General features: G+C 41.7%; 1 long non-coding RNA gene across 1 annotated transcript; it reads left to right on the top strand.

Moving 5' to 3' along the window:
• Window positions 1-270: 270 nt before the first annotated feature.
• Window positions 271-26,083, top strand: LINC01644 (long intergenic non-protein coding RNA 1644). The gene is made up of 3 exons (NR_109967.1): window positions 271-652; window positions 23,994-24,064; window positions 25,553-26,083. It is a non-coding gene; the product is annotated as a long intergenic non-protein coding RNA 1644 (long non-coding RNA).
• The last annotated feature ends 1,916 nt before the right edge of the window (window positions 26,084-27,999 follow it).

Raw genomic sequence — 27,999 nt, 5'->3', positions numbered from 1 at the left:
CTACCCTTCTTCCAAACATTGGCTGATCAGGAACATCTGGCAGATTAACGAAAGGACACAGGAGTGGTGAAATCTCAGAGCAAGTTCCTAGGTGTCAGAGTTCCTAAGCTTTCTCTCCTTAAATGCCCTTTCTGTTGTGCTAGGGGCCTTTACATTCAGAAGTAAGTCTAAACACTAAGATGTGTTTGTGAACTCTAAACTTCCTCTTCCTGGAACACGTAGGTGTGCATTACAACTTCACTCCAGCAGCCACGCCTTCCTTTGGTTATTCATGTAGCCACCTTATCCTGCACAGGTCTGTGGCAGGCCGTGAGACGGTGACCAGAGAAGCAGTCAGCACTCACGGCCCCTGCCCTTTCAGAGTTTACGCTTGCTTGGAAGCCTCCAGAATGGGGATAAGCACAAGACATTTATGCTGGGCTTCATCCAGGAAGCTCTGGTGGAAGGAAGAGAAAGCAGCCCACACAGCAAGGTTCAGGAGAAGATTCCCATGAAGGACAACTGGGGTTCAGCCCCATCCAGCAGATGACACGGAGCCGGCCTCGGAGGTGTCCTCACCGTGGGACACTGGCATCTGAGCTACCTCAGGGCGTAGCCGGCCGATGTTCCCAGCCTCCCCCTGGGCACAGCCAGCCCAGGCCAAGTGGTCTAGGTAAGCAGCCCAGAAAGGGGACACAGGTGAGGTTGGGACAGCACCTTCCAGGGGGTTAGGTGAACAGCAAGGTCAAGAAAACACACAGCAAGCACCATGGTGGGGTGGGGACCGAGGGGTGACAAGGCTGAGGATGGAATCGCAGATGAGTCTTGAGGCATTTGATATCTAGCATTTCCTTTTGATTCTTTTAAAGTTTTCATCTCTCTGCTTACATTTACATGTCATTTACTTTTTTCATTAGAGCCCATAACAATGACTCACAGATATTTTAAGTTCCTTTTTGGATAATTTTCAAATCTTTGTTATATCTGAGCCTTGTTCTGTGTTTTTCTCTTGCCTTTTAATTTTTTGTTAGAAGCCAGACATGATGCATCAGGTAATAAAAACGGAGGCAATTAGGCTTTTGGTGTGAGGTTTTATATTAATCTGGCCAGGAGTTAGACTGCGTGTAATGATTGCTGTCGTTGTATATCCCAGGGGCTTTAGTTTTCTTGTGTTTTTCCCCATTTTCTTCGGGGTTTCCTATGAACTTCTTATATAAGAACCTGTGTCTTACAGCTGTCTGGGTTGTAATCCACTGTTACTATCCTGGAACCCTATTGACGTGGTGGTAAGGGGAAGATTCTGTAATTTTTTTTTTTTTTTTTGGAATGGAGTCCCACTCTGTCGCCAGGCTGGAGTGCAGTGGTGCGATCTTGGCTCAGTGCAATCTCCGACTCCCTGGTTCAAGCGATTCTCCTGCCTCAGCCTCATGAGTAGCTGGGACTACAGGCTCATGCCACCATGCCCAGCTAAGTTCTGTATTTTTAGTAGAGACGGGGTTTCACTGTCTTGGCCAGGATGGTCTCTATCTCTTGACCTTGTGATCTGCCCATCTCGGTCTCCTAAAGTCCTGGGATTACAGGCATGAGCCACCACGCCCGGCCGAAAGGTGAAGACAGAGAATCATGACCAAGACTGGTTTACCTGAGACTAAAACCGCTGGCGCCTGTAACAGCAGGGCCACTTTAAAGCTTTCCCCTTTCTAAAACACTTTTCTCTGATCTTTAAGGCAAAGGAAATTTTGGCGGCTTTTTGTCTCTCCTTACATGAGACAGGAAAGCTACAGGGGGCTTGAGCAGGCCAGTCGCTCTTCCTCCAGGTCAGACAAGGGGAAACTGTTGGAAGTCACGGCTTTGTTAAGGAGAATTTTCTGGTCATCTTTCAAAATGGTTCTTTTCCCCTCCCCTTTCTAAAACACTTTTCTCTGATCTTTATGGCAAGAACCTGCTGGGGTTTCAGCAGGTGAAATACATGAGCCTGTTGCAGTCCCCCTAAGACTGGGCCCCAAGAGGTTTTAACTCTCAGGCTAGTCCACACTCAGCCTCTGGCAATTTGTCAAAATTAGTGTTAAAGTGGCTCTACCAGTTACAGGCACCAGTGGTTTTAGTCTCAGGTAAACTAATCGTGGCTATGATTCTCTGTCTTCACCTTTCTCTACAAACTTCAGAGAGGCTGGTTTGCTCTGTGATCTCAATTAGCTGATGGATCTAGGTAAAGTCATTGAGGTTCAGTCTGTTCAGTGTTTTCCCTGATGTGACGATGAGAGGGGGTGACTTCCGTGCTGTTTCCATATTGGGGCTGAAACAGGAAGTCCCATATATGCTCTCCATATGTGTTGTGCACATATGCTGTTAGATAGATACATTCCTAGGTACCTTAGAGTTTTTTGCTATTATCTTAAGTGTATTCATCATCTCTTATTCCTTCCATTATAGTTTCTCAGTTGTTGTTACTAGAATACAGGAGTGGACTTGAATTTTGTATGTTAATGGAACAGGCTCTGAAGCCAGGCAGTCTGGATTTATACCCCAGCTCCTCCACCTGTTAGCTGTAATACTTCAAGCAACTTCAGTACTACACTTAGATTCAGTGTTCTTCTGTATAAAACAGAAATAATAGTAGCTACTTCATAAGGTTGTTATGAAAGGAGAACAAAGCAGAATGTTTAGAGCACATAGAGCAATGCCTCTGTCTTATTGCACAGAGCAGTCTTGACATAACTAACTCCATCTTAGAAAAGGACTCTATTTTATATTTCATAGGACACTTTGCCAGCAAGGACAAGATGATTTGCTTAATAAAAAAAAAAAAAAAAAAAAAAGACTGCATCCAGCCAGATAAGGACATAAACAAGCACGCTCCTCCACTGTCAGTCCTCACCAGAGGACTCTATGGTCATAAACAGCTCAAAACTGCGGTCTTAACAGACTCAGTCTTGCTGTCACTCATGATGAGAACCCAGCATTGGCTACCAAAGGCTCTGCCACATCAAAGACTCTTCCTTGCAGGACCAAAGGACTGCCTGGCCCAGACCAGGAGATTCTTTTTGGCTTCGTTGCTCTCCCTGGACTGGTTTGTTAAACCTTTCTCCTATCTCTATTCTCTTGATGTTGAATGTTACTTTTTGTCTGTTTGTGGAATGTTTAATCTATAACATTTATGTATTAAGTATACTATTATCTATGGTTTGCAATATTGACTGACTTTGTGGAAGGACACACATGTGCGTAGACCTGGTTATCTCTAATCTTGCACTGCTGGTGAGACTTAGCAACCCTTTGATAAATATTATCTACTATTAGTGATAGAGACAGGAGGTAGCCAAGGGTCCCCTGCGAAACCCTGCCTTCAAACCTAAAATAGCCTGAAGTTTAAAAAACCAGACAGCCAGTCCTGGATGAAGCCCACCCTTTCCTGACTGATCCTTTTTTTTTTTTTTTTTTCCTGTCTGTTGCCCAGGCTGGAGTGCAGTAGTGCAATCTTGGCTTACTGCAACCTCCACCTCCTGGGTTCAAGCAATTCTCCTGCCTCACCCTCCTGAGTAGCTAGGATTACAGGTGTGTGCCACAATGCCTGGCTAATTTTTGTATTTTTGGTAGGGACAGCGTTTCACTATGTTGGCCAGGCTGGTCTTGAACTCCTGACCTCAAGTGATTCGCCCACCTCAGCCTCCAAAAGTGCTGGGATTACAGGCGTGAGCCACCGTGCCCGGCCCTGACTGATTCTGTCAGAATAATGCGGACCTGCACACTGGGAGGACGGGGTGGGACCTCAGGAATTTGGTGCCACTTGCAGTGGGCAGGAGCCTGGCCTTTTCTGTTCGTGTGTGGTAACCTGGGATTCAGTCTGTGAAATGGAGGCCTGTTAACAGAAACTCCTCTCGATTTGCTGAGAATTTTTTCCTTTTTGCCCAATAAATCCTACTCCTTATCCTTCCATGTGTCCATCAGCCTAATCTTTCCTGGTTGTGTGACAAGAACCCATTTTTTTTTCCTACAGCAATAGTATTATGTTATTTTACTATAATTATCCCAAATCTTGCTATCTCTCTTTTGAAACATGTTCATGAAAGATATTGTCTTAGTTTTTGGCTGCTATAACAAAATGCCATAGACTGAGTGGCTTAATAACAAACATTGATTGCTCAAAGTTTCTGGAGGCCAGGAGGCCAAGGTCAAGGTGCTGGCAGATTCAGTGTATGGTGACAGCCCCTTTCTTGGTTTGCAGACAGCCGTCTTCTTGTATCTTCATAAGATTGAAGAGAGGGAACTTCTGTCTCTTTGTCTCCTTATAAGGGCACCAATCCCATTCATGAAGCCTCCACACCTATGACCTAATTACCTCCCAAAGGTCCCATTTCCAAATACCACATTGGGGATTTAGGCTTCTATATATGGATTTTAGGGAAACATAAATACCCCATTCATAGCCGATATCATTCACACATGATAGAATTTACTCATTTAATGTGTAAAATTCAATACTTTTTAGTGTATTTAGCTTTGTACAATCATACAATAATCTGTGCTTTTTTTTTTTTTTTAACATTTTAGTCCCTACTGAAAGGAATTCATATCCATTTGTAGTCAATTCCCATTCTCCCTAACTTCCCCTCATCCCCAGCAATCACTAATGTACTCTCTGTGTCTGTAGATTTACCTATTCTGGAAATTTCATGTAAATGGACTCATACAATATATGGTCTCGTGTGACTTGCCTCTTGCATTTAGCATAATGTTTTCAAGGTTCATCAACATTGTAGCATGCATCAGTACATCCTTCCTTTTTATTGCCAAGTAGTATTTCATTGCATGCCAAAATTTATCCCCATTTGGACATTTGGATTGCTTCCAAATTTTTTTTTTTAATTATTATTTGAGACGGAGTCTCGCTCTGTCTCCCAGGCTGGAGTGCAGTGGCGCGATCTCGGCTCACCGCAAGCTCCGCCTCCCAGGTTCATGCCATTCTCCTGCCTCAGCCTCCCGAGTAGCTGGGACTACAGGTGCCTGCCACCACGCCCAGCTAATTTTTTGTGTTTTTAGTAGAGACAGGGTTTCACCATGTTAGCCAGGATGATCTCGATCTCCTGACCTCTTGATCCGCCTGCCTCAGCCTCCCAAAGTGCTGGGATTACAGGCGTGAGCCACCGCACCTGGCCATGCTGCGCTATTTTTTTTTTTTTTTTTTAATTTTTAGTACAGACGGGGTTTCACCGTGTTAGCCGGGATGGTCTGGATCTTCTGACCTTGTGCTCCACCTGCCTCAGCCTTCCAAAGTGCTGGGATTACAGGCGTGAGCCACTGCGCCGGCCTCCAGGCTTTTTTTGACTATTGTAAATAATGCTGTTAAAAATTTTGTACAAGTTTTTGTGGGAATATATGTTTTCATTTCTCTTGTGTATATATCTAGATGTGATATTGCTGGGCCATATGTACAAGTTTTTGTGCAAGTTTTGTGGGAAGATATGTTTTCATTTTTCTTGCGTGTGTACCTAGATGTAATATTGCTGGGTTGTATGTTTAACCGTTTGAAGAACCACCAGACTGTTTTCCCAATATAGTAACGTTGAGCATCTGTTATTCTACTAATGGGCCATTTCTGTGTATTCTTGAGAGAACTGTTGATTGAAATCCCTTTATCGTTTTAAAAATTGAGTTATGTTTTTATTAAGTTCTAAGTGTTTTCTATGTATTTTAGAACAAGTCCCTTATTAGATACATGGTTAGCAAATATCTGATAGGTTGTCTTTTCACTTTCTTAATGGTATTGTTTGAAGTAAAAAGTTTTAAAATTTGATAAAATGTATCTAACTTTTCCTTTTGTTACTTGTGATCTTGATGTAATATTTAAAAAACTATTAAATAACCAAGATCACAACGATTTAATTCTATGCTTTCTTCTAAGAGTTTTATGGTTTTAGCTTTTACACCTAGGTCTTTGATACATTTTCAGTTGATTTTGGTGTGCAGTAGGAGTCTAACATTCTTTTGCATGTAGATGTCAAGTCTCTCAGTACCATTTGTTGAAAATCTTATTTTCCCCATTGATTTTTCTTGGGATTGTTTTCGGTAATCAATTGACCACAAATCTGAGTGCTTATGTCTGGACTTTCAATTCTATTCCTTTGACCTACACATTCATGTTTATGTCAGTATCACACTGTCTTGATTACTGTGCTTTGCAGTTAATTTTTAAAATTGGAAAGTGTGAGACCTCCAACTTTGTTGCTTTTTCAAGATTATTTTGGCTATTATGGGTTCCTTGAATTTACATATGAATTTTAAGTTCAGCTTTTAAATTTCTGCAAAAATGCTAGCTAGGATTTTTATGGGGATTGTGTTGAGCCATTAGATCAATTTGAAGAGTATGACTATCTTAACAATATTGTCTCAATCACGATGTCTTTCCAGTTATTTAGGTTTGCTTTAACTTATGTCATTGATGTTTTATAGTTTTCAGTGTGGAAGTCTTACACTTTGGTTAAATTTGTTCCTATTTTATTCTTTTTGCTACTATTGAAAATAGATTGCTTTCTTAATTTTATTTTTGGATTATTCATTACAAATGTATAGAAATGCACTTAATTTTATGTATTGATCTTGCATCCTGCAATCTTGCTGAGCTGGTTTATTAGTTTTAATAGTTTTATGGTGGATTCCTTAGAGTTTTCTTCATTCAAATTGTGTCATCTGTTCATATATATATATATAGTTTTACTCTTTCTTTTCCGATTTGGATGACTTTTATTTCTTTTTCTGGCCTAATTAGGTATGTAGTATTTCTTCTACCATGTGAAATAGAATTGATGAGAGCAAATGCTTTTTGTGTGTGTGTGTATCTATTGAGATAATATTGTGACTCTGTTTATCTTTTTTTAATATGGTGTGTTAACAGTGATTGATTTTCAGATATTAAATCAACCTTGCATTCCTGGGATAATCTTACTTGATCTTGTTGTCCGTATATATGTTTTTTTTCACATGGTGCTGGATTAATTTGCTAGCATTGTGTTGAGAATTTCTGCATTTATAGTCATAAGGCTAACTGGTTTTTTAGTTTTCTTTTCTTGTAATGTATCGTTTTGGTATCAGGATAGCACTAGCCACATAGGGTAAGTTGAGATGTAGTCCCTGTTCTTCTATATTTTGAAAGAGTTTATGAAGGATTGGCATTAATTCTTCTTAGAATGTTTGGTAGAATTCACCAGTGAAGCCATATGAGCCTGGAATATTTGTTGTGGGGAGGTTTTAATTATGAACCAACGATATCTAAGAGACATGTACAAACCACTCCACCCAACAGCAGTGAAATACACATTCTTTTCAAGAGCATCTGGAAAATTCTCTGATCATATGCTAGGCCATAAAACAAGCTTCCATAAACGTTAAGGAACTGAAATTATACAAAGTATCTCCAATTGGAATAGAATGGAATTAGAAATCAATAACAGCAAGAAATTTTGAAAATTTAACATCTACATATTTGTAAATAACACACTTCTAAGTAACTGATGTGTCAAGAAGAAATTACAGTTAAATTTGAAAAGCTCTGTGGTAGATACAAATAAAGATACAAATGTACCAAAACTTCTGTGATGCAGATAATGCAGTGCTCAGAGGGAACTTTATAGCTGTATACTCATATATTAAAAAAGAAGACACATTTCAAACCAAGGACTTAAAAATTCAATTAAATAAAATGGATTCTTTTAAGAAGATTAACAAAATCAACAAAAATTAGTGAGCAAGAAAGTATAGAGAAGGCTCAAGTTTCTGAAATCAGGAATAAAAGAACATTGCTGTTGACCTTATGGGAAAAAGGGGGATTATTGGGGAATACCATGAACAAGTGTGTGCTAACAAATTTGATGACTTAGATGAAATGGACGAATGTCTAAAAAAACAAACTGTTGAAACTGACTCACAAGAAATAGAAAATATGAATATACTTATAGAAAGTAAAATAATAGAATTAGCATTAAAAAATACAAAGAAAAGCCTAGGCACAGATGACTTCTCTGTGAATTCTACCAAAAAATTTAAAGAAGTAATACCAATGCATCACAAACTCTTTCAGAAAATGCAAGAGGAAGGAATACAGTCTAATGCCTTCTATTAGGCCAGTATTACCCTGACTTCAAAACCAGAGAAAGACATAAAAAGAAAAAAAACGAGACTAATGTAGCTTGTAAATACAGACACAGAAATCTTAACAAAATATCAGGAAACCAAACTCAGCAATAGATAAAGAGGAATAGAGATCATGACCAAGTAGGATTTTTTTCCCAGGAATTTCAGAAAATCAATTAATGTAACACAAGATGTCAACAGAATAAAAGATAGCAAGCAAAACCCATACGATCATCTTGACACATAAAAAGCATTTGACAAAAATTCAACACCTTTGCATTAAAAAAACCCTTAACAAAGTAGGATTAGAAGGTCAATTCTTCAACCCGTTAAAAAGCATCTGTGAAAAAATCCATTGCTAATACCGTAATGGTGAAAGATAAAATGCTTTTCTCCTCAGTTCAGAAACAAGACAAGGATGTCTGCTCTCACTGCCTCTATTCAAGATTGTACTGGAAGTTGTTTCCAGGGCAGTTAGTAATTTAAATAAATAAATAAATAAATAAATAAATAAATAAATGGCATCTAGATTGTAAGTAAAGAATTAAAACTATCTAATTTGCAGATATCTTGACCTTGTACACAGAAAACCATAAGGTTTAACCAAAACACTGTTAACCTAATAAGTGTGTTCACCAAGGTTATAAGAGGTAAAATCAATAACATTCCAAAAAGGAAACTATGAAAAATAATTCCATTAAAAACACCATGGAAAATAAATACTCAGAAATAATTTTAACAAAATAAGCACAAAGCATACTATGAAAATTACAAAACATTTTGAATAATTAAAGATCTAAATAACTGGAAAGACATCCATGTTCATGGGTAGAAAGCATTAATATTGTTAAGATGGCTACACTCCCCAAATTGTTCTGCATTTTCAACACAATCTCCATAATAATCCCAGCAGGCTTTTTTACAGCTATAGACAAGCTGATCCGGAAATCTATATGTAAAATCAAGGGACTTGGGGTGGCCAAAACAGTCTTGATAAAAGAACAACTCCAGCCTCAGCAACATAGGAAGACCCTGTCTCTTAAAAAAAAAAAAAAAAAAATGCCAGGCATGGTGGCACATACCTGTGGTCCCAACTACCTGTGAGGCTGAGGTGGGAGGATTACTTGAGCTTGGGAGATTGAGGCTGCGGTGAGCTGTGAACACACCACTGGACACACCACTGGACTCCAGCCTGGACAACAGAGTGAGATCCTGTCTCAAAACAAAGAGGACGACAAAGTTGAATAACTCACACCTTCCAATTTCAAAACTTACTACAAAGTTACTATAATTCAGACAGGGTGGTACTGGCATAAGGATAGATAGGCATCAGTAGACTAGAATTGAGAGTCCAGAAATAACCCCATATATCTATGGTTAATTGATTTCTGAAGAGGGTGCCAAGACAATTCAGTGGGAGAAAGAATAGTCTTTTTCAACAAATGGTGCTGAGACAATTGTGTATCCACATGCAAAAGAATGAAGTTAGACCCCTACCTCACAACATATACAAAAATTAACTCAAAATGTAGCACATACAAAAATTAGCTCTTAAACATAAGAGCTAAAACTATAACACTCAGTGAGAAATAGGCATACATCTTCATGATATTTAATTAGGCAATTATTTCTTAGATATTACATCAAAAACATAAGCAACAAAATAAAAATAGGTTAATTGGCCATCATCAAAATTACAAACTTGTGTGCTCCAAAGGACACCATCAAGAAAATTGAGGCTGGGTGTGGTGGCTCACTCCCAGCACTTTGGGAGGCTGAGGTAAGAGCATCACTTGAGGCCAGGAGTTTGAGATCAGCCTGGACAACATAGTGAGATCCTGTTTCTACAAAAAAATTTAAAAATCAGCCAGGCATGGTAGTGCAGACCTGTATTCCTAGCTACTCAGGAGACTGAGGTGGGAGGCCATTTGAGTCCAAGAATTCAAGGCTGCAGTGAGCAATGATTGCACCACTGCACTCCAGCCTGGGCAACAGAGTGAGACCCTGTCCCAAAAAGAAAAGAAAAAAAAAAAGGAAATTTAAAAGAAAATTAAACTGGCTCATGCCTATAATCCTAGCACTTTGGGAGGCCGAGGTTGGTGGATTGCCTGAGCTCAGGAGTTCGAGACCAGCCTGGACAATGCGGTGAAACCTGTCTCTACTAAAATACAAAAAATTGGCCGGGCGTGGGAGCGTGCACCTGTAGTCCCAGCTACTCGGGGGGCTGAGGCAGGGGAATTGCTTGAACCCAGGAGGCGGAGGTTGCAGTGAGCCAAGATCACGCCACTGCACTCCAGCCTGGGTGACAGAGCAAGACTGTCTCCAAATAAAAAATTAAGAAAAATTAAACAACTAAAAGACAATCCATAGAATGAAAGACAATGTTTGTAAATCGTATATCAAATAAGGGACTTGTATCCAGGATATATAAAGAACTCTTGCAACTCAGTAATAAACAGACAATGTCCCAGTTAAAAATGGACGAGGATTCTGTAATAACAGACATTGTTCCCCAAGAGGATAAACAAATGGTCATTCAGTGCACAGAAAGCTGCCCAGCATCTGCAGCCATCAGATAAATGCAAATCAAAATCACAATGAGTTACCTCTTCAAACCCACTAGGATGGCTATAGTAGAAAAAATAATTACAAGTGTCGGAGGCAATGTGGAAGGATTAGAACCTGTGTACACTGCCGGAAGGATTGCAAAATGGAGCAGGAGACAATGTGGAAGGATTCTAACCCTTGCACATGGCTGGTGGGATTATAAAATGGAGCGGCTTCTTTGGTAAACAGTCATGCATTTTCTCAGAGTATGAACATGGAATTGTTCCATGACCCAGAAATGCACTCCCAAGTATATTCCCAGGAGCCACAAAAATGCATGTTCAGAAAACAACTTGTACACAAATGTTCATAACATCATTATTCATAATAGCCACAAAAGGAGAAACAACTCACACATAAAAAGAATGTGTTATAATCCCACAATGGAATTTTATTTGTTAATACAAAGGGATGAAGTATTGCTATATGCTGCAGGTGGATAAATGTTATAAACATTATGCTAAGTGGAAGAAGTAAGACACAAAAGGCCAAGAGTTCTATGATTTCATTTAAATAAAATGTCCAGAATAGGCAAATCCGTAGAGACAGGAAGTAGATGAGTTGCTGCCAGTGGTAGGTGGAAGGGAGGAATGCAGAGAGGCGGCACATGGGAGCTGGCTTCCTTCTCGCAATGATGAAAATGTTCTCAGATTGATTGTGGTGATGGCTACACAACTCTGAATACGCTGAAACCACTGAATTGTTCACTTTACCAAAGGGAATTGTGTATACTACGTAAATTATTTCTCCAGGAAGTCTCCATAAAGGTGTTATGTATTTAAAAAAAAATTATATGGTTCCCAAGTTATGAAGACTTTTGGCCCTTCCTTCCCCACATTTGTATTTCCTTAATTTTTCTTTCTTCCTTTTCTGCTTGTCAAAGACCTAATACAGATAGAATAGAAGCAGTGAGCAGCAGCCTCCTCGCCTGGTTGCCAACGTTAATGAAATGGCTTCTGGAGTTTGCTGAAGGGTTCTGAAAGTCTTGATCACATCAAAAAAGTTACTTTCTATTCTTTGCTAAGCATTTTTTATCCTGAATGGGTATTGGGTTTTATCCAATGCCATTTTGTATCTATTTAGGAGATATGTGTTCCTTTATATTCTGTTACTTTTGTGTATCACAATAATAGATTTTTCTGATGTTGAACTGTTTTAGAATTCCTGTGTAAAACCCTACTGGGTAATGATCTCCAATGCTGGATACGAGTTGCTGGTATCTTTTTTTTTGTATATCTGTATATATTTTTATGCAAGATTACAGCACGATTTTCTTTTCTTCCACTATCTTGTCCACTTTAGGTGTCTAAGCTGGATAGACTTCCTTCCTTTAAAAAATGTCTTTAAAAATTTTCATCCAGTACAATTTACTCTTATTGTCTAGAACTATGAGTCTTGCCAAATGGATAGTCATTTAAACATTACAATAAAGATATCTTTACAGAAGAGTTGCAACATCTCCCAGATTCCTTTATGCTGTCTTTTGTGATCATCTCCCTCCCTACACAGGTCAGAACGATCTGTTCTCTATCCTAACAGCTGTGTTTTTTCAGGTGTCAGACACATCGAATGGCACTCTCTGTAGCCTCTTGCATCAGGCATCTTGTACTTAGCATAATGGATTTGAGAGTCACATTTGTGTGACTCAAGAGCCTAACATTTTTTATGGCTGGGACTATTCCATTGCATGGAGGTTAGCTGACTTAAGTGAGGTGGCTTCTGAAGCTTGCTGCAGGTTCCTGACAGTCTTGAGGGGGTCAGAGAAGTGACCGTTGTGTCTTTACCTGTTCATCTGTTGAAGAGCATTTGGGTTGTTCTCAGCTTGGAGGTGCTATCAAGGCACATGTTCACATTTTTGTGTGACTGCAAGTTAATTCCTTCTGATACCAAGGGAATGGGATTTCTGGGTCCTTTGGTATGTGTACGTCGGGGCTTTATAAGAAAATGCCAACTCCTTTCCCTTGTGACCATGCTGTTTGCATTCCCACAGCAACGCGTGGGAGATCCAGCTGCTTCCTCTGCATCCTAAGTGGCACTCGCTATTGCAGGTTTTATTTTTTCTGTTGGTTTAAGTTTCAGTTTCACTCTTAGTTTTTGTGATTTTAGTGGGTGTGGTATTATCTTATTGTGGCTTTAATTTGCTTTTCCCCAATGACCCACAATGTTGCGCACCTTTCCACATGCTTTCACATCCATATATCTTGTGTAGTAAAATGCCTGCTTAATTTTTTGGCTTATTTTTAAATTGGAGCATTGTTTTCTTATTGCTGAGTCCTGATAGTGCTTTATATATTGTAGATATAAGTCTTTCTTGAGATGTGTGAATTGCCAGTATTTTCTCCAAGTCTATGGCTTGTCTTTCCGCCTCCTGTGTCTTGCACAGAGCAAAAGTTTTTCATTTTTGTGGAGTCTTGTTTATTTATTTTTGTTAGGAATTGTGCTCTTGGTGTTCTGTCTAAAAATTCTTTGCCTAATGCAAGATCACAGGAGTTTCTCCTCTGATTTCTTTTAGGAATGTTATAGTTTACATTTTACATTTAAGTCTCTGTTCCATTTTTAGTTACTCTTTGCAAAAAGTACAAGGTATCGGCCAAGGTCTCCCTCTGTGCTCCTCTCAGTTCTCTGGCCTATGGATGTCCAATTGCTGAAAACACTATTTTTTCTCCATTGAATTGGCTTTGCACCGTTGTCAAAAATCAGTTTACCATATTTCTGTGAGTCGGTTTCTGGACTCTCTCTTCTTTCATTGATTTTACATGTCTATCCCTTTGCCGATACCACATTGTCTTCATTATTGTAGCTTTATAGTAAGTCTTGACATCAGTGTGATTTTACTTTGTTCTTTCTTCCCCCACAATTGATTTGGCTATTCTAGTTCCTTTGCTGTTTCATTGACTAGATCTATTTTATTTACTCATTTATTTATTTTTTGAGACAGAGTCTTGCTCTGTCACCCAGGCTAGAGTGCAGTGGTGTGATCTCGGCTCACTGCAACCTCTGCCTCCAAGGTTCAAGTGAATCTTCCACCTCAGCCTCCCAAGTAGCTAGGACCACAGGTGTGCACCACCACACCCGGCTAATTTTTTTTTGTATTTTTAGTAGAGACGGGGTTTCACCATGTTGGCCAGGCTGGTCTCAAACTCCTGACCTCAAGTGATCTGCCCACCTTGGCCTCCCAAAGTGCTGGCATTACAGGCGTAAGCCACCACGCCTGGCTTTTCCTTTGCCATTTCATACAAATTCCAAATTCTTATTAATCTTTATTTGTTTGATATATTAATTTCTTATAGACTTAAAAACACTCTCATTATAATTACGGCTTTGGAAAATTCTCCTGCAAGTTCATGGTTTTCGGTTTCTTTTGGTTTATTTTTGGTTTCCTTTTTTTAGTATGCAAGGTTTGCTTTGAAATCCTATTGAAGCTTTTTGCCTTAAATTATATTCTCTCTGTGTCTTTGCTACATCCCTTCCTATATGTAGTAGTTTTCATATATATATTCCATCTCTTTATTTTCAACTTTTCTGCTTGATTTCTTTTCAGATGTGTTTCTTGTGGTTAGGAATTAGTAACATTTAAAAATCCAATAAAACCTTCTTCAAGGCTGCCATGTCCATCACAAGCCCAGAGTGCCAGGGCCTTGGGGGAAGAAACTGGGAGGCGCTCAGGGCACCCTTGGGACCTTCAGACTCACTGCCCAGGGTGTCTCAAGTCTCTGCTCCACACACTCTGGCACAGTGCTCCTCAGCCTCCCCAGCTGTGGCTCAGCCAGGGCTAAGTGAGGCGTGGGACCCTGCCCCAGAGGGTGCAATTGGTGAGCCCTGTTGCATCCATGTGGGGCTGATTCTGTAGGCACCCAGTGCATGAGCTGTGGAGCCGGGGCTGCCTCTACCCAGATGTCAAAAGATGTTGTAACTGCCGGGTGGGTTCACCTTGCCCGCTGCCTAGACAAAGCCAATTTATGAAGACGGGAAATTGCAATGGAGAAAGAGTAATCGTTGCAGATCCGGCTGTGCAGGAGACCGGAGTTTTATTATTACTCAAATCAGTTTCCCCAGGCATTCGGGGATCAGAGTTTTTAAAGATAATTTGGCAGGTAGGAGCTTGGAAAGTGGGGAGTGCTGATTGGTCAGGTTGGAGATGGAATCACAGGGGGTTGAAGTGAATTTTTCTTGCTGTTTTCTGTTCCCAGGTGTGATGGTAGAAATGATTGGGCCACATTACTGGTCTGGGTGATGTCAGCTGATCCATCCAGTGCAAGGTCTGCAAAATATCTAAAGCACTGATCTTAGGTTTTACAATAGTGATGTTATGCCCAGGAGCAATTTGGGGAGGTTCAGACTCTTGGAGCCAGAGGCTTGCATGATCCCTAAACTGTAATTTCTAATCTTGTAGCTAATTTGTTAGTCCTGCAAAGGCAGCAGACTGGTCCCCAGACAAGAAGGGGGTCTTTTTGGGAAAGGGTTATATCAGTTTTGTTTCAGAGTCAAACCATGAACCGAATTCCTTCCCAAAGTTAGTTCAGCCTATGTCCAGGAATGAACAAGGACAGCTTAAAGGTTGGAAGCAAGATGGGGTAGGTTAGGTGTGATTTCTTTCACTGTCATTATTTCCTCAGTTATAATTTTGCAAAGGTGGTTTCAAAGTCTCAGATAGCTGTGGGGTCCAGGCATAGACCTGCTGCAGGGCTGGGGTCACCCAAGAGAGCCCCCACAAGGGCAATTCCCAGCAAAGCTGTGGGGTGGGGCTGTCAGGAGCCTTGGATGCCCAAACCTCACCCCCGTGTGTCCAGAAGGTGGGGCATGAAATCAAAGATGACTGTCAAGATTGAATATTTGTCTTGTTGGGTGTTAGACTTACTTAAGGCCTGTTATCTCTGTCTTCTTGCCTGTGTGTCCATTTTGTAATAGAATTGTCTGCACTGCGCCTGTCCCACAGTGTGTTTGAAGGCTCATAACTTGTTTGATTTCACAGATTCACAGCTGGAGGAGAATTTGCCTCAGGACAAATCATGCTTTGAGTCTCATCCATATGTTTAGACATGTATCCATATGTTTAGACATATATCCATATGTTTAGATATGTATCCATATGTTTAGACACGTATCTGTATGTTTAGATATGTATCCATATGTTTAGATATGGATCCATATGGTTGGACTAAGACTTTAAAGTTGATACTGGAACAAGTTAAGACTTTTTGGGGCTATTGAGATGAAATGAATGTATTTTGTACGTGATAAGAACATGAATTTTGGGAGGACAGTAACAGAATGCTATGGTTTGAATGTGTCCCCTCCAAAATTCAACTGTTGTCAATGTAATAGTATTAGGAGGTGGGCCTTTAGGAGATGATGAGGCCATGAGGGCTCCTCCCCACCATGAGTAGGATTAAAGCCCTTAAAAAAAAGGCTTCAGGCCGGGCACGGTGGCTCACGCCTATAATCCCAGCACTTTGGGAAGCTGAGGCGGGTGGATCACGAGGTCAGGAGTTCAAGACCAGCCTGACCAACATGGTGAAACCGCGTCTCTACTAAAAATACAAAAATTAGCCAGGCGTGGTGGTGTGCGCCTGTAATCCCAGCTACTCAGGAGGCTGAGGCAGGAGAATTGCTTGAACCTGGGAGACAGAGGTTGCAGTGAGCGCCACTGCACTCTAGCCTGGGCGACAAGAGCAAAACTCCATCTCCAAGAAAAAAAATAGAGGCTTTATGCAGCATTCACCTTCTGTGCTGCAAGGACACAGCATTCCTTCCCTCTGGAAGATGCAGCGACAAGGCACCATCTTGGAAGCAGAGAGAAGCCCTCCCAGACACCAAACCTACCAGTGCTTCCATCTTGGATTTCCCAGCCTCCAGAACTGTAAGAAAACAAATTTTTCTTCTTTATGTATTAACCAGACTGTGATATCCTGTTATAGTAGCACAAATAGGTAGCGACAAATATTTTTTGACTTTTATTCCATGATTCTAGTCCTTTTGCACTTATTGTGATTACATCCATGCTTAGACTTCGGTCCTGCTTCCCATGTTTTTAGCGTGTCATCCTTTTCACTTCTCTTTCTTCTTGCCTTGCGCTGCATTAACTGTACTTCCTAAATTTCTTTTTTGCTTTATTGATTTGGAATTTATATGTTGTAATTATACTGTTGTAGTGGTTTTTCTCTACATTTTCAAACGTTAAATATTTAACTCTATATACATTTTTCTCATGAAATCCAAGTGCTTCAACATAGGTGTCTATTTCTTCACATCCATTGTCCATGAACTTCTGAAAATCAGAGGTTCTATGTAAATGTGCTAACGAGGAGTTTATTTCCCCATATTTGAAAAGCAAAATATTTGTAAGGCATTCCACATCAATCCAAAACTCTCAACCAATTTCCTAGAGTGTTTCCAAAACAGAAAAATGCCTAGATAAAACTAAAAACAGAGCATATTAGGATATAAAATGTTTAAGTATCAGTTCCAGATCACCAACACTTATTGTGGTTGTTAGCAAACCATTGCTTTGTAGGCAGCAATATATCCAGTTTACAAGCTGTTCTGCAAACATTATCTTTGCCACACAGCATGGCAAATAAAAATGAAAGCAGATACACTTTTTAGAAAACACAGACTGCAATGGACTGAATTTTTGTGACCCTCTAAAATTCATATGTGAATCCCTAATCCCAGTGCCATGGTTTTGGTAAGTGGGGTCTTTGAGAAGTAACAGGTCATGAGGTGGATGGACGCCCTTGTAAGAAGAGACCAGAGAGTGAGCCAGCTGTCTTTTCCACCATGTGAGGGTGCATAGGGATGTTGATAGTCTGCCACCGGGAAGGGGCCTCACCAGAATCAGACCATGCTGGTACCTTGACCCCAGGCTTCTCAGCCTCTGTAACTGTGGGATATGAGTGTTTGTTGTTTAAGCCGCTCAGCCTATGGCACCTTGTTATAGCAGCCCAATCTAAGACATAGACTAAAATGATAATAAAACTCAAAGCAAATTCCTGTAATGAAATGGGGCTCTCCAAGTAGAGAAGGGATATTTGTAGCTCAAAGTCAGCTGAGAAGGGAGAGGGCTGAAAAGAGGAGGCAGTTTCTGTGTGTCCTGGTGGTGGAGGAGGAGGGGGAGAGGACCTGGGTGAGAGAGAATTGTTTTGGGCATTTGTCAGACTCACAAGGCCTGGGAACGGCTGACCATGGTTTGGTGGCTGCTCTGAGGAGGGGGTCTGACAAATCTTCAGAGGAGCTACTCAATACTCTTGGGTGAAACACTTGCAAGATGCAGTCTTCCTCTTTGTCTTGATGTTTACTTTCATAAATTCATTTACATGAGGTTTTAGGAGACATCGGGCTGTTTCTTTTCTTCCTCCATTTGAAGCTTCTCAACCTATCCCAGGCACATTCAGGGCTAATATTTAACCCAGCACTGGCGTGGCCTCATGGAATAATGCCTCCCTTGGGTCCAGCAACATCCCACATGCACTTCCCCACCCTAAGATTCATGAGCTTTTCAAAATGTTTACATGTGCAATTCTGCCAATATTATTTGGAATAGAACCTGAGACTTCCTCTATATTGTTTTGTTTAAAATGTTGAATTGAGTCTTTGGGACATAGATATAAATGTTTTCCACATAAATAGCTGGACATATTGCATTGAGAACTAATTAAGCTCCATGAAGTTAGCGTATTAAACTCAAGAAGGGGTCTCCTGGGGAAGCATCACGGAAGAAGACTTGCTTCAGGGGATGCTCCTATTTCTGTCTTTTCCTACAGCATGGCCTGGACTGCAGCAGAATTTACCAACCACTATACCATCCTGCTATCACCCTTTCTGTTCCTGTTATCTGCAATTCCGTTTTGCTTAAAAACACTTCAAAACTGCTATTATTATTTCAAAAGTCAATATTTAATTACATTCATCAATCTATAAATCATCAATATCTAAGCTTACTCTTACATGTATGAGCCCTCTCTGGGTGTACTTTTCCTCTTGAATCCCTTCACAGTTCTTAGAGCAAGCATCTTTGGTGGTAAGCAAGTTATTTTAGCCCTTGCAAGTTTTTATTTTCTTTTTTTCCTGAGTAATTGTTTATATTGGTATAAATTATAGGTTAATAATTATTTTTCCTCAGTCGTTTGAAGGCATTATTTCATTTCTTCTGATCTTTATCATTGTGGATAAATCTACTACCCATCTAATTCATGATCCTTTATAGGAATCTGTCTTTTCTGTCTTGTAGCTTTTAACATTTTCTCTTTTTATCTTGCTATTGTGTAGCTTCACTACCGTCCCTACATGTGAGATTTGTTTGGTTTGTTTGTTTATTCTGTTCTTTACCTCTACTGCAATTTTGAACTGAGGACTCCTGTTGACATGGTTTGGCTGTGTCCCCACCCAAATCTCATTTTGAATTGTAGCTCCCACAGTTCCCACATGTTGTGGGAGGGACCCAATGGAAGGTAATTGAATCATGGGGGCAGGTCTATCCCATGCTATTCTCATGATAGTGAATAAGTCTCATGAGATATGATGGTTTTATAAAGGGGAGTTTCCCTGCACAAGTTTTCTTCTTGTCTGCTGCTATGTCAGATGTGCCTTTCACCTTCTGTCATGATTGTGAGGCCTCCCCAGCCATGTAGAACTGTGAGTCCACTAAACCCCTTTCTTCTGTAAATTTCCCAGTCTTGAGTATGTCTTTATCAGCAGCATGAAAACAGACTAATACACCTGTTTTTCTCTGAATCTGCAAAAAATAAATTACTAGCTTTTCATATAGAGCTTCTCTATTTTCTTCTTCTGAAATTGTTATTTCAGAGATATAGGACCTCCTTGACTATTCTCCACCTCTCATCTGCTTGTGAGTATGTGTGTGTAGATGTGGAGATAAACACACCTCAAGCAGCCTAAGAAGCCATCAATAGAAGGAGGAACCATTATTTTCATGCACCACTAAGAAATAAAGGTGCCACAGACAAGGAGTTTAGTAGAAGACCCCTACATAAGGTGAGGACCCCAAAGGGCTGCAGGCTTGCTGTAAGAAGAAATGAGAAATGAGAAATAAACCCACTGTGAGCAAAAGGCAGGAAAAAAAAAAAAAACCTCTGACAATCTGTCCTGAGGTTTTAACCTCCAAACTTTACACACTCAGATTTACAGTTCAAATGTAAATCTTAACTATAGATTTTAATTTTAAATGACCTTAGGTCAGTAATACTTCCAAGTGACTGGCGGGGCAAATGAAGATTCTCTTTGGAAGATGTCTCCAGTCTAGACCAAGAGTGGTTGTAAGTCACCTTCAGTTGCAAGGTGTGCTCCAATTTCAGATATATTAAAATGAGAAAATGGAATCAATGAAGTGCAGTGTACATGTGTGCATGCATGCACACATCCATATTTATCTACAGAAGTCAGTTTGTCTCTCTATGCAGTATTCCAGGTGAGTTCTTCAATATTGTCTCCAATTCACTAATTCTCTCTTTAACCCTGTTCTGCCTAAAATGTGTTCCTGTTATCACGTATTTTCTTTGGCTGTATTTTTAATTTCTTAGTTTTCTAATTGTTTATTTTAAAGAAATGTTTTTTGTTATTTCTTATGTGCCTGTTCTATTTTTCTATAGTTTCTTGTGCTTTTAAAAGGACATTCTCCCTCCTTCACCTCTGTTATCTCTTTAAACACCCTAAACATAATTATTTTTGTTGTAGACAAATTGTCCCCATGCAATTAATTTTGTCTGGAGTTATTTCATGTTCTGAGTACTGATTTTGTTATTTATCGTTCGGAGCACTGGAACACTCCTGTGTTGTGGGACAGGGGAGTATTTGGCTTTTCTTTCTGCACTCCATTTTTCTTCTTCTCTGTTTGTCCTTCCTTCTAGAACAGCTTTGCCGTTGTCCCCAGTGACCCTCAGGGCTCCCAGTGCTGCACCAGGTACTACATGGCTCTCCTTTCCTCACAGCATCTCCCATTGCTTTTACCTGGGCTGTCAGCTTCTCAGTGGGTCCCACAGATTCTTCCTTCTCTATGTCTTTTTTCTCACTTATTTTTTCATTTGTTCAACAAATAACTTTGAGCACTTACAATGTACCAGACTCTGTCCCATTTTGTCTCCTTCTTTTAATGATCTGTTTTATGGAAATTGATTATATTCTATAATGTGTTGTTTATACTAGTTTTAATGAGTTCTGTTTTCATTTACAAGGAAGTGAGTGTAATGGTACATATTTGTCTGAAGAATTCTTCTTGCTCCTCTGACCATAAATGGATTACTGTATTTTCCAGGAATCGTCGGCCTTCTATAATAATACTATTCCTCACTTCTGTATAGCACTTTGCAATCCACAAATGTTTCTTATCCATCAACTCTGTTGACCAGTTGTGATATGAAATAGATAGGACGTATGTTGGTCCTGTTTTACCAGGGGTACGCCTGCAGCTCAGAGAGGTTAAGTCTGCTCCAGGGCCACCAGCCAGTAAGGAGCAGAGTGGAACCACACCTGAAACCAAATCTCATGATTCAGACACCTGAGTTAGACTCTTCAGATGGGCCTTAGAATATGTTCTGGGCACAAGGGTCACATCTTATGTCCTGGTATCAGTCATTGTACCTAGCACACTACTGGTCATGGCATGTATTTGCATAAATTATTTGATGAAGGCCGTCTGGGAGAAAGCTGACTTTGCACATTTCAGGCAGGGGCTGTGGCTGAACTCATTCTGTTGGGACACTGAGTGCCCTGCTGACCCCTGAGGGGCACCAGCCCACAGGACCTGCAGGAAGGTCTGCACCTGCAGAAGTATGTGAGGGAGACCAGGCTGCCTGTGGGCTCCTCATTCTTTAACTAAGGAGGATTTATGACCCAGCCGCAGTGATAGGAATTCAAGACCTCTCAACATGTTCACATTCAAAAAATCAGTAGGTATCGATTCACATTACTGAGTTGACTGAAGGCAGAGGCAGTATTTATTCTGAGTTGTGTTCCTGATGTAATAGTATTTAGATTACAATATTTTCTGTAATTACTTAGAAATGACAATGCATACTGGGTTAGTGATAAATCAGAGGCAATTTAAATAATGTCATCAGGAATCGAGCATAAATTCTGTGGATCTCATCTCAGCCAATGGGCCATTGCTTTGAAGGGTGAACAGTGTCTCTAACAGCCAGCATTGCCCAGGGGAGGTGGGGTGCTGAGGGCCCTAGCTCTGACCCTGGCCTGTGGCGGCCTGTCATCTCATCCCGGCAGCTCTGGGTGCAGCTGGCGAGCTCTGGCTGGAGCCTGCAGTACGGATCATGCCAAGGGTGCAGTGGAGGCAGGACTGCGGGATAGACATGACTCCGGGCAGCAACAGGTGAGGGAGGAGAGCGCTCAGCCAGGTGATCTGTGACTCATGAAGGTGCAAGCAGCTGAGCCTCCCTGCTGGTGCCCAGGCTCCATTTGTGCCTCTCCTCTGCTCCTTCCCTCACTGCTGCAGGTTCTGGGTAATCTGCACACTTTTGCAGGGTCCTTGGAGCCACCTCTTACAAGAGTGCCATTTCTTCAAAAGCTATTAGGGCACAGAGGTGCACAAGATTGGTTCTGGAGCCCCGTGGGAATCTCGCTCAGGGGCGATAGTTCCGTTTAGGGCTGAGGTCATGCTGGCTGAGTGGTCTGATTCCAGCTGCTGGAAGCTGGAAGTGGGGTGTGGAAGGAGGCTGTGGCCACTGAGCCCCAATCATGTGACAGGCACTCCACTGGCTGCCCTCTTCGTGATGTTGATTGAAATCATCTGCTCACTAATAACAGAAACAAACATGGGTCCTTGGGTCAGAGTAAAGGAAAAGTAGGAGGCAGTTATGGGGTTTGTGGAGTATCCTACATGGCGAGGGCAGGAATGTGGATGGGACCTCAGGAAGGGATGGGATCAGAATCAGAAGTGACCAGAGTCTCCGTCCATCTCCCTGCTCTTCCTGCACACCAGGTTCTATTCCTCCTTCTACTGAGGTTTTTTTGCCTCTGTTCCCCTGTGGCCTCCTGTGGCTCCTGATCCTATAGGTACAAGTCCAGCCTCTGGGAGACATGAACCTGTTCCTGGGCTCAATTCCACATCCTTTGGGAAGGGTGAGCGGCTCACCCAGCACTACTGGAGTAGTGTCAGGTACAAAATGATGACCTTTGTTCCATCAGCGTGGACCAGTTGCCAGCTAAGAGGGTTCATGTCAGTGTGTTATCCTGAGCCTGTGAGGTGGTTTTCTTATGGGTGTTACCAATGAACATCAGAGAGCTGATTGCCATGCCCAAGGCGAGACCAGTAATGCCTCAGCGGGGGTTAACTCATGGCTACTGGGTCCAGGGAACGTGCTGTATCAGCCACGCTCTTCCTCTCCCTGTTATTGCTCTGTGTTCTAGTTGGAGAAAATGTCACAAGCAAAGAGCTAGAGGTAAGCAGGCTGGCACAGAGGGAAGCGTGTTAGGAAGTGTGTTGATGGCGTGCTGGTTGGGTAGGGAGGAGCCCTGGCCCTGCTGGTGGGACTATGAGAGTGAAGATGACAGCGTTCAGCACAGTAATAGGATGGGATGGGGGAGGGGGCGTGGGCACCCTGGAGAGGGAAATACGGTGGAAAATGAACACAAGGACCCAGAGCAAGAACACAGCATTCAATAATGAACGAGTGTGTTAGTCCATTCTCACACTGCTATAAAGAACTATCTGGGACTGGGCGATTTATGAAGAAAAGAGGTTTAATTGACTCACAGTTCTGCAGGCTTAACAGGAAGCATGATTGGGAGGCCTCAGGAAAGTTACAATCATGGTGGAAGGCAAGGGGGGAAGCAAGAACCTTCTTCACACGGTGGCAGGACAGAGACAGCACATGAGGAGGAAAGTGCCACATCCCTTTAAACCATTGGATCTCATGAGAACTCACTCACTACCACCAGAACAGCAAGGGGAACTCCACCCCCATGATCCAAGCCCCTCCCACCAAGTCCCTCCCCCAGCATTAGGGATTACAATTCAACATGAGATTTGGGTGGGGACACAGAGCCAAACCATATCAACAAATAAGAATTTATTTTATTTTTGCACCAAAGAACCCAGTTTGGTTTCCTTTCTTCATCCCACTAGCGAACACTCTGTGTGGCTTCCCTCATAAATGCCCCCCAGGACTCAGAATTCTCACCCCAAAGGATTTGAGACCGAGTCTGCAAGACACGGATCGTCCAGATGAGTGTTTTCCTCTTTTCTCCGCGGCACTGAGGGGCTGAGAAGCATCTGGAGATCTCATGCAACTCTCAATTTCCCACCACAGCCCCGGCCCCCACTCAGCATGGCCCAAAAAAGGAGCAAAAAGCAGAAAGCTCAAGGACCCTCAGAATCAAGGTAAATTTTCTTTCTAAATAACTTGAGAATTTTTTTCCCTCTAGTGCTTGAATTTTCTAAGCTCTACTTGATATTTTTAAGACGTTAAAATGACTCTGATTTTGAATCAACCTCGTTGGTCTTGCAAAGAAAATAACTGTGCTTTGAATGGAGAATAAACAAGTTGGGAAGGGAGAGTGAGGAGATCCTCAGCTCCTTCTGGGACCCAGACCCCACCTCCCCCTGCACACTCCATGCTCAGGTGCATCTGGAGGTGGAAAGACCCAGGGTCAAATGACAGCTCTGCCTCTTGAGACTGTGTGACCTTTGGTGAGTGACCTCGCATTTCTGGGTCTTGGTTTTCTCAATAAAAATAAAAAAGAGAGATAAATAGGTCTACGTGGAAGAATGCTTGGAATTAAATGAAATAACATATGCAAAATAGCTGTGCACTTCTGAAAGTCCTCTATAAATGTACTCTCCTGATGCATGACACTGATAATTATTGTTGCTAGTTATTCTCTCAACCTACTGTGTGCAAATCCCCTGTGCTTCGTGCCAGAGGAAGGAATTGGGTTGAAATTGTCTACTTGCAAAATGTATAATATTTTTCTTTCAGGCTTGTTCTGTCAAACAAAATCACTATTCAGTACCTGGGACATTACAATAATACATTTTAATGAAAACAATTAATTTGAAATGATTGCTTTGTTGTAAGTAGAATGAAAAAAATCATTATAAATTGGCAAATGGAAGAGAAAAATGTTTTTATATAAGTACTTAGGAGAGACATATTGAGGCCATGAATATTTCTAAAATAAGAGAACATAAAACTTGAATTTGTAAAGTTGTTTTCTTAATTTGGAGGGCTGTTTCAACTTGTTTCCAAATGAAGATAAAAGAACCAAGTTCTGCAGCTTGTGCAAATGTATGGGGAAATCAATGCAGGCTTTTTTCTTCTTCTTCTTTTATTTTTTTATTTTTATTTTTTGAGACAGAGTCTCTGTTACCCAGGCTGAAGTACAGTGATGTGATCTCAGCTCACTGCCACCTCTGCCTCCCAGGTTCAAGTGATTCTCCTGCCTCAACCTCCTGAGTAGCTGGGATTACAGACGTGTGCCACCACGCCCAGCTAATTTTTGTATTTTTAGTAGAGACGGGTTTTTGCCATGTTGGCCAGGCTGGTCTCAAACTCCTGACCTCAGGTGATCCGCCCGCCTCAGCCTCCCAAAGTGCTGGGATTACAGGCATGGCCCACCACGCCCGGCTAATTGTTGTATTTTTAGTAGAGACGGGGTTTCACCATGTTGGCCAGGCTGCTCTCGAACTCCTGACCTCAGGTGATCTACCAGCCTTGGCCTCCCAAAGTGCTGGGATTATAGGCATGAGCCACTGTACCCAACCTTCTTCTTCTTTGTTTTTTTTTTTTTAAAAAAAAAAAACTGTTTTCCAATAGGGTTTAACGACATGAGCTCATTGGGGGCTTCAAGTGTTTATTGTTTGGTTTAGTTTTGCAGAAAGACACAAAGCTCAAGAACAGAGGTGCAACTAAGGGAACACACCCTGTAAGACTGCCTCCCAGACACACCACTGCAGCCAGTGAATTGCACTGTTTAGACTTTGACTTCAGGGTCAGGGTGAGCTGATGAGACTGGCCCCTTGATGAAGTAAGAGGCCACCAAGGAGTGAGAGCGGCTGAGTTTGAGCCCTGCCTCTGCCGTCTGCAACTCTCTCATCTTGAGCAGGTCCAGCCCCAGTGTGGGCCTCAGATCTCCCATCCTTGAGATGAGAGAATTCAAATCCAGCTCCACCTCTGCAGCCCACGCCCTTCCCCTGCACTGCATGGCATCCGATAGGCTTGAAGAAGGCGTGAATGACATTCAAAGGGCCACATCATCTAAGTCGCACTCCTCTCCCATCCCATCCCTTGTTGTCCTTTACATGATTCCCATTCATCTTTCTTCTCTTGGGCCCAGGGGTGTGCTGGTGAATGTTTAACAGCCACTCCATGAAAAAATAAAACGGTCTTGATTGATGGCATTTGCTGATTTCCTTGGTGTAAACACTCCCACCATGGGCTGTTCCAAGCAACCACAGTGATGCTGCTGAATGCTGATCCTGGAAGAGTCGGTGCAAGCTGGTTCTGGCATAGCACTGGCTAGGTTGCTCCAGGGTAGGGGCACTGGCTGCCTGCTGGCTAAATGTGAAATCGGATGAGATCGTTATCAGCTAATATTCATTGTGTGCTTATTGTGAGCCAGGCTGTTTGCTCAGAGCTTTGCATAGGTTGTCTCCTTGAATCATCAACACAGTCCTAGGATTCAGTCCCTCGGTACAGATGGTTATGTAACCAGCCCAAGGCCATGCAGCCACAAGGAGGAGGAGTTGAACTGGCCATGGCGCTTGAGTTCATAGCCCATGCTTTTAGGCAATATGCTATCCTAGATTTCAGCCTTGCTGCTTTCTGCTCTTGAAAGCCTGCAGAAAAATGCCTCGAGACATAAAGCAAGTCCATTTGCACTTGGTTCCTTTATTTTGAGCTTATTTATCAAATCTTCTGATGATCCTCATGCATCTCTTTATTGCACCTGGCCTATTAATACATATATTGGTAAACATACTTTGGTGATATTTATCGTCACTCTAAGAACTCACAGATTTATACCATTTAGTGTTCTGTGTTTTGTTTTTGGGTAGGCCTCATTAACAGGGTAGAGTTCAGACATATGGGTCTTATATAAAAAAAGTGACTTTGTAACAGCTTTTTTTTTTTTTTTTTTTGTGATTAGGGAAAGAAACAGCCTTAAGTAAAGGGAGCTATTTGGAGCAGAGAGGTTTTTTAATTAGGGTGATATTCCAGAGCTGAGTGACAGCATTTCTTGAATAACAGAAGCCTGGAGAGCTCTCCCTTGGAAGGGCATTGCCATACACCAGCCGGCCAAACTGATTTTTCAGGGAATTAAGCCCTGCATCAAACTGGCAGAGGCACGATGCTTTTGTCTGGCTGAGTATGGTACAAAATGGGTTGGAACATAAACAATGATCTGGAGAAGCAGGGCTGCATGGATTGCCAAACTGGGCAATTTGTCCTCATCAGCAATACAATGTCCACCCAGGGTAAGATTCTGTGGGCTGCTCCCCTTGGCCCCGGACAGACTGCCTCCAGGGTGATGCCAATCTCATGCCACTGCACCTGATTTTAAGCAAGCTCACAATATGAAGATGTGGATTTGGAGAGGCGTAACTTGGGTGAAATCAGCTCTGTGGTGGAGAGCATGACGTAGCAGTAAGAGCATTTGTAATAAATAATGGTTCTGTTGTTACATAAAAATACTTGCTACTAATTATTAAAAAATTCAGGCCGGGCACCGTGGCTCATACCTGTAATCCCAGGACTTTGGGAGGCCGAGGCAGGTGGATCACCTGAGGTCAGGAGTTCGAGACCAGCCTGGCCAACATGGTGAAACCCTGTCTCTACTAAAAATACAAAAATTAGCCGGGCGTGGTGGTGTGTGCCTGTAATCCCAGCTACCCAGGAAGCTGAGGCAGGAGAATAGCTGGAACCCGGGAGGCAGAGGCCACTGCATTCTTGCCTGGGTGACAGAGCAAGACTCCATCTCAAAAAAAAAAAAATTTTTTTTCAAAAAAAAAATCCTGCCATTCAGACATTGTATTAGTTAGCTCTCATGCTACTAATAAAGACATCCCTAGACTGTGTAATTTATAAAGGAAACAGGTTTAATGGACTCACAGTTCCACATGGCTGGGGAGGCCTCACAATCGTGGCAGAAGATGAAGAGCAAAGGGAAGTCTTACATAGCGGCAGGCAAGAGAGAGCATATGCAGGGGAACTCCCCTCTGTAAAAAACCATCAGATCTGGTGAGACTTATTCACTAACATGAGAACAGCACTGGAAAAACCTGCCCCCACGATTCAATTACCTCCCACCAGGTCC

This window comes from Homo sapiens, chromosome 22 (genome assembly GCF_000001405.40).
Source record: "Homo sapiens chromosome 22, GRCh38.p14 Primary Assembly".
Taxonomy (NCBI): Eukaryota; Metazoa; Chordata; class Mammalia; order Primates; family Hominidae; genus Homo; species Homo sapiens.
Note: the sequence above shows the minus strand (reverse complement) of the source record. Positions and strands in the feature narration are given on the sequence as shown.